At 35.9% G+C, this 22487-nt stretch overlaps 1 protein-coding gene across 1 annotated transcript in view; it reads right to left on the bottom strand.

Annotated features, from left to right (window-relative positions):
- UTRN (utrophin) overlaps nucleotides 1-22487 on the bottom strand; it is a 567700-nt gene that overhangs the window by 314735 nt on the left and 230478 nt on the right. Inside the window, exons 38-44 of the mRNA NM_007124.3 lie at nucleotides 21913-22071; nucleotides 21352-21489; nucleotides 16129-16320; nucleotides 15112-15284; nucleotides 7098-7248; nucleotides 5040-5215; nucleotides 583-718 (exon numbers count right to left, since the gene is read on the bottom strand). Of these exons, the coding sequence (NP_009055.2) occupies nucleotides 583-718; nucleotides 5040-5215; nucleotides 7098-7248; nucleotides 15112-15284; nucleotides 16129-16320; nucleotides 21352-21489; nucleotides 21913-22071 (1125 nt within the window). The remainder of the gene's footprint in view (nucleotides 1-582; nucleotides 719-5039; nucleotides 5216-7097; nucleotides 7249-15111; nucleotides 15285-16128; nucleotides 16321-21351; nucleotides 21490-21912; nucleotides 22072-22487) is intronic.

Below are 22487 nucleotides of genomic sequence, written 5' to 3'. Positions count from 1 at the left end.
ATTTATGAATACAAAATTTATGGATATTTGGATATATTTATACATCTATATATGTATGAATTTTTATAGATTATATACATATACAACTATAAACAATACTTGTTAGTTGCAAACCAACAAAGAAAATCTGATTAATACAACCATGACACTAAACCTATTGCAAGCTGCATTTTGTTCCTCAGCAAGTCACTCTGATAATTACTGATTATCTATAAAGTTGAGTTTTGCAGCTTTATAGACAATAATCAGTAATTTTCTTCCAAATCTAAAAACAAAAAACGATATTTCATAGCCCTATTGTATTTTAAAATGATAAGGTCAGTTTACAATATCCTAAAAACCTTTGGTCTAATACTGACACCATAATAGTTTGTTCTTTTTACATAAGTGAAGTTTAAGCTCTGCAAGACCAAAATTATAACTGCTCTTTAAAAAATAAAAGATATTCCTCTTTCAGGTTCACCACATTTACCAAAAAGTACAAAGTTTCTTTTCCCTTTTCTTCTTGAGACACGCAGTATGTGACTCTGAAGTATAATGTTCGGGCACCAAAAGGCATATAGACAGAAATAAACAACTTACTCTTAATTCTTGCAGGTTTTCTCCCAATTCGGTGGTTGATCTCTTTTGCATAGCATGCTCAGCCTTTGTTAACCAACAGATAATCTCATCTAGCTGATGCCTGTACTTCATCACCTGCTTACTTTCTCCTTTTAGCCTAAAAGAATATATTATTTAAAAATATTGAGGAAAAACTGTCCAATTAAGCAGAACCTTACATATTTGCTTTGAATATCCTGACTAAATATTTCCCAAAATAAATAATTTCTAATAATTATTTTAATATATATTTTAAGTGAAACAATGTATATATTCTACAATATAAAGATTGCTTAATAATAGACCAAGAAGCTTTTTTCCTTAGTTAAATTCAAAAACATTGAAACTAAAGAATATTATCTTCCCTCATCATAAAAAGTTATGTAGAAATTGAATACAAAAGCCTTTTTTACAGTTAGATACCACTCCGCAACATAATGGAAATTTTTTAAAACATGAAAAATGTCTTTATCTAAAATAATAGGGAAAAAGCATAATTCTCTTTGAGTGTTTCACGAATATTGAAAGGAATCATTATATGACATGTTATCACATTAGGTGGTAACTATTACTCTGCTTTATTCATAGAACAGAAAGAATAAGAACAAAGCAAGGTATCAAGAATGGGAGAATCTTACAAGTATTAGGGAAGACAAGAAACATGTGAATTTGGCTTGTTTATTAAAATAACTATTATATTTGAATAGAGCACTGTTACAAAAAGAGATATAGAAAAAAACAAAGCAAAAATTTTAAATGATGCAAGGAAAACAGTCAAATGAATATAAAAAAGGAACTGCCTCAATTAGATCTTTATAGTGTTATAAGAATAACATTTATAAGAATATAAACCATCTGTCAGAAGAGAGGAATATGATTAGAACTCATATGACAAATAAGATTATGTGTTTTTTAAAAGGATTTGAAAGCTATTAAAAGCCTGGTGGTATCTTTATTTTTATAGCTGCTATAATTAACTGCTGGTTTAAAAACTGAATGCAATTTTTAAATAAATTGTATTGTATCATTCCTAATAAGAATTTATGTTTTTGCAGCTAGGAGTTTTCATTTTTAATCACAAAAGTTCTCACATAATCGTGCAATACATGTAATAAAATATTAGATAATACTTCTATATTTAATAAACAGTCAATATTTGATGTATAATGTTTAAAAAAATGAAAATCACTACAAAATCATAATTTTTAAGTATCCATCAAGAAAGAATGCTCCTTTAAGATTAAAAATAAATAAATACAGCAACAGCACTAATTACTAAGACTAAAACAAGTAATCTACCCTCCATAGTGAAAAGTATTTAACTTAAATGACAACTTTGGAAACACCCAAAATACTATTATAGGCCTTTGTTTCTAAAAAAGAGTTGAAATTTCACGTCCAATGTTTCAAGATCATGACTAATTTAGTACTTTCAAAACAGAACTATGAAGAAAACTAGCATTATAAAGTGATTTCAATAAGATATATTTGAGTCACCCAATATTTTCATCTGCAAATTAGCTAAATATAATCTACATTTTAAATATTATCCCCAAGAGTAAAAACAAATTATAAATTCATGTTCTAACAGAAGAAACAATTGCTCACTAAGGAATAACCCACTGGGCATGGTGGCTCACGGCTGTAATCCCAGCACTTTGAGAGACTGAGGCAGGAGGATCACTTGAGCCTAGGAGTTCGAGACCAGCCTGGACAACATGGCAAGACCTTATTTTTACAAACAATTTAAAAATCAGCTGGGTGTGGTAGCACACACTTGCAGCCCCAACTACTCAGAAGACTAGGGTGAGAGGATTGCTTGAGCCCAGGGGCTCAAGGATGCAGTGAGCTACGATTGCACCATTGCACTCCAGCCTGGGTATCAGAACAAGACCTTGTCTCCAAAAAAGGGAAGAAATAACTCTGCAGGTTGCTGAACTATGCAAATACTTAACTACAGGCACTCAATACAAAAACAAATTGAACTGTGTGATAATTCTCAATTACTTTGTTAACAACATATATACAATCTACCCAAAATGGTCCCAATTTAATATAGACTACCAACCTAAGGTGAAGTTTAGCGTTAATTTACAAAGACAAATATTGTTTTAGTCAAAATATAAGCTGTTGGGGAAGAGATTCATTATTCTTTTCACTTCCAAAAAATGAGTAAAAACACGTATTAGCTTCACCTTATTAGTTTTAGGAGCTGTAATTACCACACTCCACAGATATCTACCTTTAGAAGAATTTCTGCATTTATTGTTAAAACCCTCCCAGCAGGTACATGTTTTTCCTTAAAAAGGTATAAGAGAGGATAGGCTCAGTGGCTCATGCCTGTAATTCCAGAACTTTGAGAGGCCAAGGCCAGCAGATCAACTTGAGGCCAGGAATTCCAGACCAGCCTGGCCAACATGGTGAAATGCCATCTCTACTAAAAATATGAAAATTAGCCAGGCATGGTGACAGGCACCTGTCATCTCAGCTACTGAGGAGGCTGAGGCACGAGAATTGCTTGAGCCGGGGAGGCAGAGGTTGCAGTGAGCTGAGATCACGCCACTGCACTCTAGCCTGGGTGACAGAGCGAGACTCTGTCTCAAAAAACCAATAAAGGTCTAGGAGATAAATCATTTCAAGCTAAGACCCTCCATGCAAACTGAATAGCATGACATATAAGATCTTATGGGACCTCATTTTCCAATCCTTCCCCTGGTCATTGAACCCTCCTCTCCTTTCAATCCTTTGCAGATCTCTCACACGACGATGCTATTTATGCCTCCCACCTCTGCTGTTTTACTTCTTCTGCCTAGAAGGCCCTCCCTAGAAGAAATTTATAGAAAATTGCTATAAATGCTTTAAAACTCAGCTTCGGCATGCTTCCTCTGTGACACTTAAATTCCACAGCGCATCATATCTGCCTCTGTGACACTTTATCTTTTTAATGATGTTTTCTTTCATCATTTTCTTCTTCTTAGTCTTTGAGTTCCTAATCATACTTGTATCTTCAGTGCTAAACATAGAGCTCAATAAATATCGATCAAGTCATTAATCAATCATTGGCAAAATTCAGCAATATGCTTAGAGAATAAGTTCTAAGATAACTTGCTTTCATAAGAAATAGATACTTTAAGTGTTTACTATGAATAGTCAAGGCATGCACATTTTCCAAACACTATTGCATTTAATCCTCATGACAGTCCTCTGTGGTGATATCATAGTTCTCATTTCCAGAGGAAGACACTTTGGCCAGAGAGTTCTGTGCTCTTTCCAAGTTCGTACAGCATAATATTGAGAGCATAAGACAGTATGATCACTTACTTTCTATGAGATCTTGGACAAGTTACTTAACCTCGCCTCTCTTAGCCTCAGTTTCTAAAGCTGTACAAGGCTTAACAGTCCCCTAAGAGGTGAGTCATGACTCCTAAACAAGGCAATGTGTGCAAGGTGCCAGATACTCTCTCTGCCATGTGGTAATCTCTCAACCAAAACGTACTAATTATTATTTGTCTCTTACCAAAACACACAAAATAATAGATTTTTTAAATGAAAAGCAACTGTAGGTCACATGATACTTGAATATTTTAGGTTGCATAATAATACTGGACCTGATAAAGTATTAGATTGGCCTTTCACAAAATGATAGCTTATCACTAAAATAATACTTCATCAACAGAGTTAAAATTAACAGAAAAAAAAATCGTGGAGTTTTTAACCCTAAACTACCAACAAGAAACAAACAAACAAAAAAGATCATTAATGACGGAATATATGAAACAAAGTAGAAATCATTCATAAATCTTGACTGTCTCAGAAAATAATGTCAAATAATTTTAAATATGGAAAGTGTCTATAGTGTTGGGCATTATATTCCAATTGCAAAACAAATTTGCAACTGGAAGATGCCCAAATAAAATCTGAGTCACTGTAACATAATCTGACATAAAAATTAATAATACTATATTATATTATATTATATTACATAGATGAAGAACTTTATTATTGGCAAAGCATGAATAGAACACAACATTTGACACCAAAATAACTTAGTGAGACGTATTACTAAGGTAGGCTCAATCAGGAAATAAGCAAAGGGAAGGTCTGATCTTGAACCCAGACCTTCAAACCTGAAACCTGGAGTTTCAGTTATTTCAACTACTTTAAATTCCCATCATAATCACCATATCATAATAAGCAGTTGTAAATAAAAGGAATAAAGGTGTTTGGTTTTTACATATGTAGCATTTGAGTAGAAAAGTGAGACTTTATGGACAGCCTAAAAATACAGGAAGGGAGAACGTGGGCAGTGGAGGTCTTAAATGTCAGTAAAATTCCTATTATAATGTCAAACAATAAAAGAACTCATTAGATTGCATCTTAAAAGATTCTATCCAAAATATGTTCACTCCTGTGCCTGCAAACAATCATAGCTAAATCACCTTGGCTGCCTATCCTTCACTTCTGCAACAATTGCATCCCAGCGTTGGTTTAAACCTGCCAGTTTTTCTTTCAAGAAGCTTCCATCTGCCTGGGAGAGTTTCTGCACAATCCCATCCCCAGTTCGGTTTAGTGCTGCAAAACTGGGCTGGTGGCTGCTGATGCCCACCTCAAGTTCCTGTAACAGAGCACAACTCAAGATTAGTTTCACTAATAAGTAAATGATTCTGATGCAATGAATCCACCCAAGTATTGTGGTATCAATTTAAGTGTGAAAGAAACAAACTCCTGGAAAGATATTTTATGTTAGAAAAAAAAGGCATTTTAAAACAATTTAATTACATTTCAATGAACATGCTAAATGAAATTTATTTTGAAATCTAACCCACCTTCATGAATGTCATCAGGCAAAATACAAGGAAATAGGGCAGCTTAATAACTAAAATGAATAACAGCTGTTTACATTAAAGCATAAGCATCAATCATGTTTGATGAAAATGAATTGCTCATCTTCTTTCAAGCAAGTGCTTGAAGGCATTGCTTTAAAAAATTATATACCCCAATAAATCCTTATATCCTTGTGTCCTACCACATACAAGTAAACCTAAATGCACATTTTACTAAGATATTGCTTCACTGGTTGATATGGTTTGGTTGTGTCCCCACCCAAATCTCATCTTGAATTGTACCTCCCATAATCCCCACATGCCAAGGGAGGGACCCAGTGGGAGGTAACTGAATCACAGGGGTGGTTACCCTCGTGTTGTTCTAGTGAGAGTGATCTGATGGTTTTATAAGGGACTTTTCCCCCACTTTGCTCAGCACTTCTCTCTCCTGCCGCCATATGAAGAAGGACATGTTTCTTTCCCCTTCCACCATGACTGGACGTTTCCTGTGGCCTCCTCAGCCATGCTGAACTATGAGTCAATTAAACCTCTTTCCTTTATAAATTACCCAGTCTCAGGTATGTCTTTATTAGCAGCATGAGAACAGACTAATACACTGGTCTACAAATGTTTAAGTAACAGATTGAATGAATATTTTCAAGTCAAATTTAAACACTTATCTGTAACTCCAAAAATAAGAAAAATGCATTAACACATTTATTTATTTATTTATTTATTTATTGACACAGTATTGCTCTGTCACCCAGGCTGGAGTGCAGTGGCACGATCTTGGCTCACTGCAACCTCTGCCTCCCAGGTTCAAGCAATTCTCCTGCCTCAGCCTCCTGAGTAGCTGGGACTGCAGGTGCGTTCCACCATGCCCGGCTAATTTTTTGTATTTTTAGTAGAGATGGGTTTTCACCATGTTAGCCAGGATGGTCTCGATCTCCTGACCTCATAATCCGCCCACCTCAGCCTCCCAAAATGCTGGGATTACAAGTGTGAGGCACCGCGCCCGGCCACATTAACACATTTATAAGAAAAACAAATGAATTATCTTTAAATTGTCATGTCCTTCTAAATAAAATACATTTAAAAAACTTAATAAAAGAGAAAATATTTTTATCAATGGTAGAATTGAAATTGCGTGTGCTTTCTACCATTATTTTTAAAGACCTATTGTTATCAGAACTAACTTTGTGTTATATTTTCCCAAGACTGAATTAGACTTACATGAGCAGCTGCCCTGCTGTCGCTCCAGAATAATTTACTTTATGATAATTATCAATGATACAAAGAAAAATGAGATGCCTAAGTGTTTAAGTACAAAAAACAGAGGTGAGGCATGCAAATATTTTTTCTGTTCTTGGTATAGTCTTAGGCATAACAGTTTACAAATTTTATTCTAAATATAAAATTGTTTAAATAAAATTGTTTTTCACATTAGCCACCAAGGAGTATTTTTATTTAAATTTCTTTGAAATCCTGATTGAAAATTGTGATTGACCAATTTCTTAAACTTTTATAACTGGTAACAAGAATTGGAACAAAAATTACAAATTGTCCATTGACTTCTGAAAAATTAATATATTTTGTCCCTACTTCTGAAATCTGTCTTAACAGGCATACACTAACCATATGTGCAGTCCCCCTCCTCTAACAGAAAGCACTCACCTGCTGATGTATCCTGGCTTTCTCTAAGTCCAGGCTGCCACCTGGAGCACAGGTATCAACCAGTAATTCTTCAGCCTCTGTTATCCACTGTGTGAGGTCATTAAGGTCACAATGGAACTGTCTCCATTCTTCCATTGCCCTGTCAAAACAACTAGAGGACAATACACAAAATAAAATAGGTTTCCAAATTTTCCAGGACTGCCTAAAGCCATTTTTCTAAAAAAGAAAATCAAATTTCATTTAAACAGAAAGACCTCAAACAACTGAATTCACAGCCTATTGCTCCACAAAACCAATTTTCGTAGTGGGATACAGGTAATAATTCCTCCTAGAGATATATGCATCATAACAAGGGCAAAGCAATCTGCTCACACCACCAGCTACCAAATCCTCTCTCTCATACACACACACATGCACACTCACGTATACACACATGCACACTCACATACACACTCACAAACACACTCACACACACACTCGAGCAGCTTTTTAACTAAAAAGATGCAGCCTTTTCTGGCTTGAAAAATCAGGATCGATTAGTTGTAGGCATGTTAACGCATCCAACTTTATACATTTAACATTTAAATACTGTGAAATATAAAATATGATTCATTATTTTCTTGGGGAAAAATATGTTGTTTTACTACCAGAACACTTAGTTCCCGGCAAGAATAAAGCACAAAAGGCCAAAACACTTCAAAATGCCCGTATACCCCTCTATCTATATGTTATATACTGAATTATGTCCAATCAAAATTCTTATGTTGAAGCCCTAACCCCACAGTGTGACTGTACTTAGAGATAGAGCTTTCCAGGACACAAATAAGGTTAAATGAGGTCATAAGTGTGGGGCTCTAGTCTGAAAGGACTGGTGTCCTTATAATAGGTGGAAGAGTCACCACAGAGCTCTCTCATGTGAGGACACAGCAAGAAGGTGGCCATCTGCAAGCCAGTAAGAGAGACCTCACTAGACACCAAATCTACTGGCACCTTGATCTTGAACTTCCAGCCTCCAGAACTGTGGGAAAGTAAATGTCTGTTGTTTAAGCTACCCAGTCTATGTTATCTTATAACGGCTGCCTGAGCAGATTAATGTACTTCGGGTAATGACTGGTCCTGAGGGTCCCATTTACCTAAATACAGCAAAGTATGAAATTGCATGCAGAGCCCGTTATGCAATAAGACAGAGGGCTATTGAGATTTCTGTTTAAACCAAACTCTTTTAAAGATGGCAAAGTAAAACCCAGTGCTTGTTATATTCAGGATACATGAAATAAGCATAAAAAGGAAAAGCTTTATTGGACCAGGATCCTAAATAATTTTTTCTCCTATCTTTTTGTTTAAGAGTAATGGAGCTGAGTTTTAGAAGTGATCTCTGAGATCTTAACAATATTAATAAAATATATATTTTTTAAATAAAATGGCTCCTAATATCAATAACCCCTAAATAATGTGTATATCGTCTTTCTCCATGAAAATTACTTTTAACATTTTGCTAATACTGCCCACAGTAAAGCAATTTTCTATTGAGCATGGAAAAAGAAAAGCACTTAAAAAAAAGGCACTATGAGGTGATATTGACACTCATTATCATTTGCAAAAATTCACAATAACTACACAACAATCACAATTTCCAAATTCGAGATGCTATAAGACTGTTCCAAAGATCTAAAGACTTTGAAAATACAAACATTAAACTTAGAATGTATCATCAGTGACAGAGAGAAAAAAAAATGGTGGATAGGAGGAAGGTCTAACTTGCAGCTCCCACTCAGACAAACAGCAGCATGTGCAGACACATAGTGGACTTTTGTTCCAAGAACTACCGCAGGAACATACCAGGAAAACTGAGAGAATCTACAGACCCTTTGAAGGAGGTGGAATGCTGCTGCATGCTGCATGGGAGAGCCGAGGAACTGGAGATCAGCTTGCGTTCTCAGCTGGGAGACTTGTCACCTGGGGCAAGTTCTCAACCCTGCTCACCAGCTGCCTGGAAATAAACCCAATGCTGTTGGGCCAGTGGGGGTGTGGGGGTGGCGGAAGGGGTTCCTGATAGGACTAAGACTGGCCTTTTGGGCCGTGGGCTGCATGGAAACTGAGTGAGGCCTGCAACTGCACGCTTTCCCTCACTTCCCTGGCAACCTGTGTGATGCAGCAGAGGCAGCCATAATCCCCCTGGGAACATAACTCCACTGGCCTGGGAACCACACCCCCATCCCCCATAGCAGCCACAACAAGCCATGCACAAGGAGAGTCTGACTCAGCACCTAACCCTGCCCAACCTGATGGTCTTTCTCTACTCGCCCCAGTAGCCAAAGACAAAGAAGATAATTTCTTAGGAGCTCTATGGCCCTGCCTGCCGCCTAATCCTCTCTATGCTACTGCAGCTGATGCTCTCTTGTAAGCACCATCTCCTGGCTGGGGGCCAACCAACAGAAAACCAGCGAACTTAACCAAAATACAACCAAGGACTCTCACAGAGGCCGCTTCACTCCCCTGTTACTTCCACCAGAGCAGGTGCTGGTATCCACAGCTGAGAGACCTGAAGACAGATCACATCACATCACAGGACTCTTTGCAGACACTTCCCAGTACCCGCTCAGCACCCAGTAGCTGTGCTGGATGGCTAGCTTCAGAAGATAAATAATAATCACTGCAGTTCAGCTCTCAGGAAGCCCCATCCCTAGGGGAAGGAGGAGAGCACTACATCAAGGAAGCATTTCATGGGACAAAAGAATCAGGACAGCAGCCACTGATTCCCAGATCTTCCCTCTGACATGCTCTACCCAAATGAGAAGAAACCAGAAAAACAATTATGGTAATATGACAAAACAAGGTTCTTTAAAATACCCAAAAAGATCACACTAGGCTGGGGGCAGTGGCTCATGCCTGTAATCCCAGCAACTTGGGAGGCCAAGGCAGGCAGATAACCTGAGGTCAGCAGTTCAAGACCAGCCTGGCCAACATGGGGAAACCCTGTCTCCACTAAAAATACAAAAATAAGCTGGTGTGGTGATGCGTGTCTGGAATCCCAGCTACTCAGGAGGCTGAGGCAGGAGAATCACTCAAACCTGGGAGGCGGAGGTTGCAGTGGGCTGAGATTGTGCCATTGCAACTCCAGCCTGGGCAACAGAGTAAGACTCCATCTCAAAAAAAAAAAAAAAAAAAAATCACACTAGCTTACCAGCAATGGATCCAAACCAGGACAAAATCTCTGAATTGCCAGAAAAAGAATTCAGAAGGTCGATTATTAAACCAATCAAGGACACACCAGTGAAAGGTGAAGTCCAACTTAAAGAAATCAAAACAATGACACAGCATATGAAGGAAAAAATCTCGAGTGAAATAAACAGCATAAATAAAACAACTTTTGGAAATCAAGGACACACTCAGAGAGATGCAAAATGCACTGGAAAGTCTCAGCAATAAATTCGAACAAGTAGAAGAAACCTCAGAGCTCAAAGACAAGGCTTTTGAATTAACCCAATCTGACAAAGAAAAAGAAAAAAGAATTTTAAAAAATGAACAAAGCCTCCATGAAGTTTGGGAATATGTTAAAAGACCAAAGAATAATTTGTGTTCCCAAGTAAAAGAGAAATCCAAAAGTATCTAAAACATATTTGCAGGAATAATTGAGGAAAACCTCCCGGCTTTGCTAGAGATCTAGATATCCAAATACAAAAATCTCAAAGAACACCTGGAAAACTCATCGCAAAAAGATCATTGCCTAGGCACATGGTCATCAGGTTACGTAAAGTCAATAAGAAGGAAAGAATATTGACAGTTGTGAGGCAAAAGCATCAGGTAACCTATAAAGAAGAATCTATCACATTAACAGAAGATTTCTCAGCAGAAACCTTATAAGCTAGAAGAGATTGGGGTCCTATCTTCAGCCTCCTTAAACAAAACAATTACAAGCCAGGAATTTTGTATCCAGTGAAACTAAGCTTCATAAATGAAGGAAAGATAGTCTTTTTCAAACAAATACTGAGAGAATTTGCTGCTATTAAGCCAGCACTACAAGAATTGCTAAAAGGAGCTCTAAGTCTTGAAACAAATCCTAGAAATACAACAAAATAGAATCTTCTTGAAGCATAAATCTTGGCCAGGTGTGGTGGCTCACGTCTGTAATCCCAGCACTTTCGGAGGCTGAGGCAGGTGGATCACCTGAGGTCAGGAGTTTGAGGTCAGCCTGGCTAACACAGTGAAACCCCACCTGTACTAAAAAATACAAAAAAAATTAGCCAGGCATGGTGGTGGGCACCTGTAGCCCCAGCTACATGGGAGGCTGAGGCAGAGAACTGCTTGAACCTGAGAGGCAGAGGTTGCAGTAAGCCGAGATCATGCCACTGCACTCCAGCCTGGGTGACAGAAGAAGACCTGTCAACAACAACAACAATAAAGCATAGATCTCAAAGAACCTATTAACAATAACAAAATGAAAAAAAAAAAAAAACCAAGGTATTGAGGCAACAAATATCATGATAAATAGAATAGTACCTCATATCTCAATAATAACATTCAATGTAAATGGCCTAAATGCTTCATTTAAAAGATACGGAATAGAAGAATGGATAAAAATTCACCAACCAAGTAACTGCTGTCTTCAAGAGACTCACCCGACACATAAAAACTCACATAAACTTAAGGCAAAGGGGTGCAAAATAACAGTCCATCCAAATGGACACCAAAAGCAAGCAGGAGTAGCTATTCTTATATCAGACAAAATAAATTTTAAAGCAACAGCAGTTAAAAAAGACAAAGAAGGACATTATATAATGATAAAAAGACTAGTCCAACAGGAAATTATATCCTAAATATATATGCACCTAACATTGGAGCTCCCAAGTTTGTAAAACAATTACTACTAGACCTAAGAAATGAAATAAACAGCAACACATTAACAGTGGTGGACTTCAATACTCCACTGATAGCACTAGACAAGTCACCCAGACAGAAAGTCGACAAAGAAACAATGGAATTAAACTATACCCTAGAACAAATGGACTTAACAGATACTTACGGAACATTCTATGCAACAACTGCAGAATATATATTCTATTCATGAACACATGGAATATTCTCCAAGATAGACCATGTGATAAGCCACAAAACAAGTCTCAACAAATTTAAGAAAACTAAAATTACATCAAGTACTCTCTCAGACCACAGTGGAATGAAATTGGAAATCAAGTCTGAAGGGAACCCTCAAAACCATGCAAATATATGGAAACGAAATAACCTGCTCCTGAATGATCATTGGGTCATCAATGAAATCAAGATGGAAATTTAAAAATTCTTTGAACTGAACGATAATAGTGACGCAACCTATCAAAACTTTTGGGATATGGCAAAAGCGGTACTAAGAGGAATGTGCATAGCATTAAATGCCTACATCAAAGAGTCTAAAAGAGCACAAATAGACAATCTAAAGTCACACCTCAAGGAACTAGATAAACAAGAACAAACCAAACCCAAGCCCAGCAGAAGAAAAAAAAATAACCAAGATCAGAGCAGAGCTAAATGAAAATGAAACAAATAAACAAAAATACAAAAAAAAATGAAACAAAAAGCTGGTTCTCTAAAAAAATAAATAAAATTTACAGACTATTGGTGAGATTAACCAAGAAAAGAGAGAGGATCCAAATCAGTTCAATCAGAAACAAAATGGGTGATATTACAACTGATGCCATAGAAATACAAAAGATCAAGGCTATTATGAACATTTTTACATGCATAAACTAGAAAACCTAGAGGATATGGATAAATTCCTGGAAATATACAACCCTCCTAAATTAAACCAGGAAGAAATAGAAACTCTAAACAGACCAATAACAAGCAGCAAGATTAAAATCATGATTAAAAAATTACCAGCAAAAAAAAGCCCAGGACCCGATGGGTTCAGAGCTGAATTCTATCAGACATTCAAAGAAGAATTGGTACCAATCCTACTGACACTATCCAAAAGATAGAGAAAGAGGGAATCCTCCCTAAATCATTCCATGAAGCCAGTATTACCCTAATACCAAAACCAGGAAAGGACATAACAAAAAAGAAAACTACAGACCAAATCCCTGATATAGATGCAAAAATCCTCAACAAAATACTAGCTAACTGAATCCAATAGTATATCAAAAAGACAATAAACCATGATCAAGTGGGTTTCATACTAGGGATGCAGGGATGGTTTAACATACACAAGTCAATAAATGTGATACACCACATAAACAGAATTAAAACAAAAATCACATGATCACCTCAACAGACTCAGAAAAAGCCTCTGACAAAATCTAGCATCCCTTTATGATTAAAATTCTCAGCAAAATTGGCATAGAAGGAACATACCTTCAGGTAATAAAAGCCATCTATGACTTTTAGCCCATAGCCAACATTATACTGAATGAGGAAAAATTGAAAGCATTCCCCCTGAGAACTGGAACAAGAAAAGGATGCCCACTTTCACCACTTGCATTCAACATAGTACCGGAAGTCCTAGACAGAGCAATCAGACAAGAGAAAGAAATAAAGGGCATCCGAATTGGTTAAAAGGAACTCAAACTGTTACTGTTTGCTGGTAACATGATCATATACCTAGAAAACCCTAAAGACTCATCCAAAAAGCTCCTAGAACTGGTAAATAAATTCAGCAAAGTTTCAGGATACAAAATTGACGTACAAAAATTAGTAGCACTAAAAATTTAAAAATGAAAATAAAATTGAGATGTAATCTATCACTATTAAACTGGCAAAGTTTTTTTAAATAATAAAAAAAAAACCTGTCAATGTTAGTAAGGGCTCAAAAAGAAGGATATTTTTACAAATACTGTTGGCAGGGGTATAGTAACCAATTTCATGATATAATACAGGGGTTTAAAATGTCATTATTTTTAAAGAAATTTGTCTTCATCTAATGATCAAGCCTAATGAAATATAAGTATGGATAAAGATGTATGTAAAAGAATGTTCTCCAAAGGTACAAAGAGAAAATTTGTAAAATCCAAACAAAGGAATATACCAAAGGCCACTAAAAGCTATCTTTTCAAGGATTAGTCACATTGAAATATGTAGGCTAAAATAGAAAAAAAGAGAAGGAACATGATGCCTAGTTTTTGTGCGTATGTCTCTCAAGTTACCCAATGTATTATTCTGTGCTCCCTTTCCTCTTATACAGCGCTTTCCACTGGGTTATTTCATAACTTATTTGCCTTTCCATCACATCCACAGCTACTGGCAAAAATCTTGCCTGTTTTCATTTCTACCTATTAATAGTCCTGGTCAAAATCTAGTAAGAAGGCTCAAAAGCATTCATTTAAACAGAAGGCTATAAAAAAGAGTTTGGTACTATATATGGATTCTAATTATCTGTAGCTGCCTCTGTTCTTCACTCACATTAATCATCAAGTGTGCTGAGAAAGTGAACATTAATGAAAAATTTCTTTAGTTTTTTTAAAGAGAATGGACACTATTTAGACACTAAAAATTAGAAGTGCTTCCATATCATTAAGATATTATGTTATAAATGGTCATCTATACATGATCACATTCCTCCTTTAAGGAACTATACTCATCACAATTTATTAAACAGGGCATAAGGCCGGGTGCAGTGGCTCACACCTGTAATCCCAGCATTTTGGGAGGCCAAGGCAAGGCGGACTGCCTGAGGTCCGGAGTTCAATACCAGCCTGGCCAACATGGTGAAACCCCATCTCTACTAAAAATACAAAAATTAGCCAGGCGTGGTGGTGTGCGCCTGTAATCCCAGCTACTTGGGAAGCTGAGGCAGGAGAATTGCTTGAACCTGGGAGGCAAATGTTGCAGTGAGCTGAGATCATGCCACTGCACCCCAGCCTGGGTGACAGAGCAAGACTCCTTCTTAAAAGAAAAAAAAATAATAGGGCATCCTACAAGGATATGAAACATGTTCTCATTAATCTCAGTGTCCACATGATCTTCTTCACGCCCATGAACTTGCAGGCATTTTTTTAAATTAAATATTAATTTCATTTACACATACCCTTTCCGATCACTGTACATTCTATTAATTCTGTCCCATTTTGCATTCAGCTGAGTAAGTGTATCTCTGATCTGAATGGCTTCAGGTCCAGAGGCTTCAAGGATGACATCTGGCTGTTTTTCATGAATGACTGCAATCTGCTCTCCAAGTTTGTCCAGTTGGTCTTTGATATTCTAAAAATATATTGTCATAGATTAACAAAATCCAGCAAAGTAACAAAAAAAGGAATCACAGATGACCAGATATTTATATTGTAGAACACTCATTTGAAATAATAATGAGACATAATCATTGTTAATCATGAAAACTGAAAACTTTTTTTTTTTAAATGATACTCTGTTTTAACCAAAGTGTGTGGAATATGCTACATAATATACTCAAGGCAGGAAAAAAAGTCCTCACAATAGTAGCATTTGTACAGAACACATGAAAGGCTTCAGTAACATTCTCTATAGGTAATGAGGCATTTGAAGCTGGAAATAGTGATATTTTCAAATATCTAATAATGTTAGTTTAAATGAGAGGAATGCACTATCAAATCCATATTATCAGTGAATTTATTGTGATTTTACATATAAATGCAATCAAGTTACATGAAAATGCCTTGCTAGAATTTAAGTTTAATTAACTTACAATCAAGATGCCATTCCATACCTCAACTGGCCAATTTTAAACCATTATAGATTGCCTGATAAATGCTGACAATTAACATCAACTGACAATCTAGTTTATAAGACAGGAAGGTGGTCTATGTCTCTGTTTAATTTTAAACAAGGCTCTGATGTTGCAAATAATTTATAACTGTGCACATTTAACAATCCATACCCACTTTTTAAAAATTCAAAATTTAATATATTTTCTTTGACAATATAGGAAAGCTTTACTAGTCATACATATTATTAATCCCCTGGCACAAATTGTAAAAGATATAGACCATCTAAGTAGGCACAAGAACAAATTTCTTCCTCTACTTCTACATTAACTGTGGCCATTCAAACACAGTGCCCAGAGGTCTACCTTCAGAGAGTCTTCCTGAAAAGAGAAGTCTTCGTAAATAGCAGTGTTGAGCTCTGGAACATTAAGCGATAATTCAACATCATCCATGCAAAGTAAAATTTTGTTAATTTCAACCAGATAATCTGTAGGAAGAAGTGATGATCTAATTCCAGAAGCAAGTTGACCCATTTTCCTCTGTTGAATAGGGATTGCCTACAAAAACAGCAAAAAAAAAAATATATATATATATATATATCTCTTAAAATACCCCCACAATGAATAATAACAAGACTATTGTGTGAAGGAATGCAATATCATGAACCAAATTTTTAAAACTTAGTTTTAATATTTTATATTATAAACCTACCTTGCAACAGAAAACCTTAACAATCTGTATCCTAATTTTCATCTGCAGCATGATATTAAACAGTATAAGTATGTTATTAATTTGACAGGCTTTAAGATCTATGCCATCTAAACTCAGTTAGCAAACAAAAAACAACAATTCCTTTCTTGAGTTGTTGAAAGAATGAGAATATCCTGCCAATCACAAAGTTTTGTATGAAATAAAACATTTTGATACATTATTTCACTCTTTTAAAAATATCACAATTTTAAAATTGGACCTCATTGCTAAAAATATAAGCAAGTTAAACATGTTTCCATAACACAACATGAAATGCACAAAGGGTTTTGATTAAAGTAATATCCAGGTAATTCAGTATGTAATCTTAATCTCTGAGAATAATATTATAGAGCAGGAATATCCTACATTAGAAAATAGATCATGAAGTGTCATATTTAGACAGACTTGAGGCTCTATGGACTACTCATCTGCCCTAATATAGATTTTCTGGATCCTCTTCTCAGAGCTTTCTTTTTCATTTTTATTTTTTTGGGGGGGTGCAGGACAGAGTGTTGCTCTGCCTCCCAGGCTGGAGTGCAGTGCTGTGATCTCGGCTCACTGCACCGTCTGCCTCCCAGGTTCAAGCGATTCTTCTGCCTCAGCCTCCTGAGTAGCTGGGATTACAAGCATGCACCATCATGCCCAGCTAACTTTTATATATTTAGTAGAGATGGGGTTTCACCATGTTGGCCAGGCTGGCCTCGAACTCTTAACCTCAAGTGATCAGCTGACCTCAGCCTCCCAAAGTGCTGGGATTACAGGCATGAGCCACCATGCCCGGCCCTCTTCTCAGAGCTTTCTAAACAATAAAGTGCTCTCTGGGATGGACCGCCAGTCCTTCAGGAGTTCAAACCCTTTACTCCTAGATGGCCACAATTTAATAAGTGCTACGTATTACCACTTGCAAAGGGCCAAACTGCAGCTGCTCATGAATTAAGGTACCTTCCTTGACACTTTCACTTCTCCTATGTTGAACTTCTAAAAAATGATAATCATCTGTAAATTCAAGATGATAGGTAAAACGATCACAAATGCATGTTAATTCAGTTAGTGATCTTGAAAATGGTTACAATCCAATCTCTAAAGGAATCCAAGACTCATGACTAAAATCATTGAGTGGATAACATGGTGTTGAACCTAGAGGACTGCATTATTGCCTCCTAGAATTTGTTAAACTACTGCGTCCATCATTTGAGGGTAGTTCTGGATAGCCAGGTTAGAAGCAGGTCTATACATTTCTTGACTTTAACAACAGAACTAATTACACTTGTCTCCAAGATTAATTTTATTATCCTAATGCCGCAAGTTTAAATTTTAGTCAGAAAGCATTTCTAGATATTTACCCATATGTCTAAGGAAACAAATTCTGTGTTTTAAGCAAATATAAAAGAATGCTGAAATAAATAACATATCTACCCAGAAACCAGTTATGAATAAAAAGATGCTAAGTATTTTTTAAGAAAAGAAAAAATCAAAAATAATTCTTTTGGATTTTCATTTCAAATAAGCCAGTGTTTTTATTTTGGAAGATCAGAAAACTAGGCTCAATTGTTCTCCCTCTTAACTTTAAGGAAAAGAAAATAGCCCAATGAAAGTATTTCTAGGTTGAGTAATCATGTCGAAAAAGTAAAAGAGGAAAGTGGGACCCGTTTTCCTTCTTGGCTTCCCATCCATTAACCAAGATTTTGCTGAAAGGTCATCTGTTTTCCAAAAGACCAAAAAACTCCAGACATCCAACTACTTTATTATGCTTGTAGGGACATTTACCTTTGTAGTACTTTCCTCATTTAGCACCACTAGATAATACATGCCACATTTGTTTTTTAATCTGCTCCATTAGGTAAATGTTGGGAGCCACTTTTATACCTCAGCTACTACTGCAAGACTGGAATTCCTGTGCTGCTTCTTCAGTTACATAACGGATTGTCATTCTGCAAGACCACGTGTACCTGAAGCTTTAGAATAAACTAGGGAGGTTAGTAGGTATCATAAAGATCCAAGTTTAAAAAATTCCCATTCATTAAGACTGCCTCTTTTTCTTTTCAGACTATAGGACAATCCAGGATTTTTCTGAGCCTTCCCACTCTTGCAGAAGCAGCAAGGCCGTTCAAGACTTAAACATGTGCTTTCTGTATTCCCAAAATAGATTTTTTTCCCCCAAGAGAGTGATCAATCAAAATGCCCTAGGACTAAAAAAATGTCCTCGAGATCTGACCGAGACTTTACTTCTGGACAATTTTATTTTTAAAGAATTCTCCAAGGACACAGAAACACAAATATACTAGAGGTCAGTACTTAAATGAGACAGTGTTACATGACGTAGCTCACATCATATAGCAAAGATTAAAGAGATTTTTAAGTGAGTGTTTTATTAAATTTCTAAGTTTTGTTTTTACCAAACCATAGGAAAAACCTGGAACTAAACAGAATTGAATATTCATCAACTTTCTGGAGGATGAAAACTTTTTAGATCCCAAAACAGAAACCCCTGAAAAATCACTAAGGGAAAACATAGTCACCTGTGGCTAAACAAAAATTTTAAATGGTTATATCTTAAAGATAAAATAATTAGAAGATAAATATCAATAAGATAATATTTTATAGCAATTATGGCAAGTGGTTAATATCTTTATAAAGTGCTCATACATAATTTAAAAACAGTAATACTCTAGTAAACAAATTGGAAAAGGTCACTTAACATATATTTCAGGTAAGACAATGAGTCCTGTAAACTAGTGCTTCTCAATCCTAATTGTACATTAAAATCATCTACAAATGTTTTGTGTTTTGTTTTTGTAAATGCCCACACCTAGGTCCTGAGAGATTCTGATTTACCTGTTTCAGGAATTAGATTTGGGCACTGTAGTTTTTTTAAAGCTCCCCCACAGTAATTCTCATGTTCACACTTAAGAATCATATAAGTTTGAAAACTATAGATTTGAAGTTTGTAACATAGTTCGCCTACCAATGTTAGTAAAGCCAGAATGAAATTAGCTTGTATAGTATATATTAGTACTTTTAACAAACAAATTTATTTATGTATTAAAAGCTTAAAACTTATTTCTATTTTGTGCCAGTAATAATTTCTGATTTCGGACCCAAAGATGAAAAAGATATTGCCTGAACTTGGAGAAGCATTAGGGAAGAAAGATACTTTAAAAAGTCACAATAAAGCAGAGAACTATAATATAATCTGACAGAAGTTAGAAATAAAAATGGAGCTGAGTTTTAAAAGATAACGCATTTTTCAGCTAACCTAAAAAGACAAAACTCACTCTAGGGAATCGGAATAAAATTAATAAGTTCCCAGATGTGCTAAGGCACATGATGTGTTTAGGAAAATGTAAAGAAAAACCAGCATAGCTGTACTACATGGGAAGTGACAGCACATCAAAGACATAAGGAGCCAGGGGTCAGACTGAAGACTTTGTATGTCGTTATATTGACAGACCTTGCATTTAAAGCTTTTTCTGTATTTTGCAATATTTTCCTAAACAGTTTCTTCGATGAAGGAATGACATGATCAGCCATGACTTTGGGGAGAATAACTGTGAGGAAGAGACAAAGGACATGCTAGAGTGAGAAAAAACAGACATAAGAATATGTCCATGGGATATAATATCATGGGAGAAAATCATTAGTCTAAATTATGGAAAGGATAGTGAAGTAAAATAAGCTAAGGCACTTTCTGATGGTCATAAAACAAGCAGCTGGTAGAGCAATATCTAACTTCACGTTCAAACCTGTATGTTGCTTCAAGCAGTCTCAACAGTTTTAATGCCTACTCAGTGTGATGTGAGAAGATATGTGAGGAACAAGAAATAGTTAAGAAGGATGTTGAGGCTTCAGCCTTGAGAGAATGGCTAGTTTTTAAAGTATAGTCATGCATTGCTTAATAACAGGGACATGTTCTGAGAAATGTGTCTCTAGGTTATTTCATTGTCATACAAACATCATAGAGTGCCCTTACACAAACCTAGATGGTACAGCCTCCTGCACACTTAGGCTGTGTGGTATAGTCAATTGCTCCTAGGCTAAAACTTTACAGCACGTTATTGTACTGAATACTATAGGCAATTCTGAAACACAGTTGGAAGTATTTATGTATCTAAACATATCTAAACATAGAAAAGGTACAGTAAAAATACAGTACCATAATCGATCTACTTAATTTCCAAAGTCATCAAATAAAAATCGTTCTAGAAGGAACTACCAAAGAACGGACCCCAGGGAACAACAGCACACTTAAAATGCAGCTAGAAAGATTGCCGTTTAAAAAAGAGCTGGAGCTGGATATGGTGGCCCACACACCTGTAGTCCTAGCAACTTGGGAGACTGACATAGGAGGATCACTTGAGCCTAGGAGTTCAAGATCAGCCTGGGCAACATAGAGATACCCCATCTTTAAAAAAAAAAAAGAAAAATATAAAGAAATAAAAAGGGAGCTGGTAGTGAATCTTTACTAGAATATAAATCATATTACATCACTTTCACAAACTGAGTTATTTTTAAACTAGAAATTTTTTTTGACATAGACAAGACCTTCACAAATAAAATATGGAATTGGAGGAAGCCACTTCTGAAATAGATAGATCTCTTTTAGGTTTGATAACATAATCAGAAATCCAAAAGAGATGGCCAATAATAAGGTTTTACATTTCCATTTTGAGTTCTGCACCATCCAAAAATATGAACACATCTAGTAACACACACTAGAAAGGAGGAGATGATATTCCAACTGGTGTGTTTTAAAGCATCTGTGATGCAGCATCACACATCTGAATGGCAAGAGTTAAGTAAGGTATTTAAATGCAACAGAGACTCTCCAATCATAATACCTTAATTTTGTTGTATCTAGTATGCAAAAGTAATAATTGCAAACGGATCTTTTCTTTTTTATTATCTTCCATAGGTTGATGTAACATTTCTTCTCCTCTTTGTAGAACTTCCTCAATCTGGGCACTCTCCTCATCCATCTAAATTTTTAAAAGGAAAAAAAAAATGACTCAAAAGAAAAATGCATAAGGTCACTTCCTATCAACTCCTAAGGAGGAAAACTAACCTACTTAGTATAGTATACGTCAAGATATGTTAACCTGAACGATCAAAAAATTTATGTTTTTTTTAAATATATTTTATATTTGAAGATAAAATGTCTCAAAGAGAGTTTAGCAAACATTAGATAATACTAAGGATTATGTCTAGTTCAGAAACTGAGTCTATTTTCTTTTTAAGCACATGAATCATGTGACTCTTACATTGACACACATCAAAAAATCACATTTGAATCTGTTTCATCATGTTTGACAGATTATATGGGCAAACATCTTGATGTAAAAATGAAATTAATAGAGAAGAAAAATGAGACCACCATGGTTTTGAAATCTCCTTGAACCAACCTTTTCATCTTCATCACTGGATTCCAAGTGTTTTTCCACAAATTTTAACATATTTTCTATGTCATTTTCTAATTTTTCCAAGTCAGAGAAAGGCACACCAGTTTCAAATGTTTCAGTGGTGACCAAACATTGGTATAATGGTTCCTGAGCAATTAGCAACTGTAGAAGGAAAAGAATTCTCTGAAAATAGATTTTTAATTTGACTTTCCATCATTAATCAGAGAGATGGGGTGTCAAGAGAGAAACTAACACTTTTTTAACTGACTTTTCTATTCAGCTCAGCTAACTTTTGTTTCATTCATTTATATGGCAATGATTTTACCAATTCAGACTTCTCTGAATGACCCGTTTTCTCCAAACTCTAGCCAGGGATGTGACGTAGTATTGCAATTCATTGTGGCTGCCCAGAGTGTTGTGGCGTGGATTTGGAGACCACATGCGAGCATAGCAGGAAACTATGGCCATGATCCAGAAACTATCCTTACCATGGCCACAGAAAGGAAGAACAGCCACCCAGCCCCCAGGGCAGGGACACCTCACAGAATGTCTCCCAGTTAAGTTTCCTCAGTAGAATT

This window comes from Homo sapiens, chromosome 6, assembly GCF_000001405.40.
Source record: "Homo sapiens chromosome 6, GRCh38.p14 Primary Assembly".
NCBI lineage: Eukaryota > Metazoa > Chordata > Mammalia > Primates > Hominidae > Homo > Homo sapiens.
Note: the sequence above shows the minus strand (reverse complement) of the source record. Positions and strands in the feature narration are given on the sequence as shown.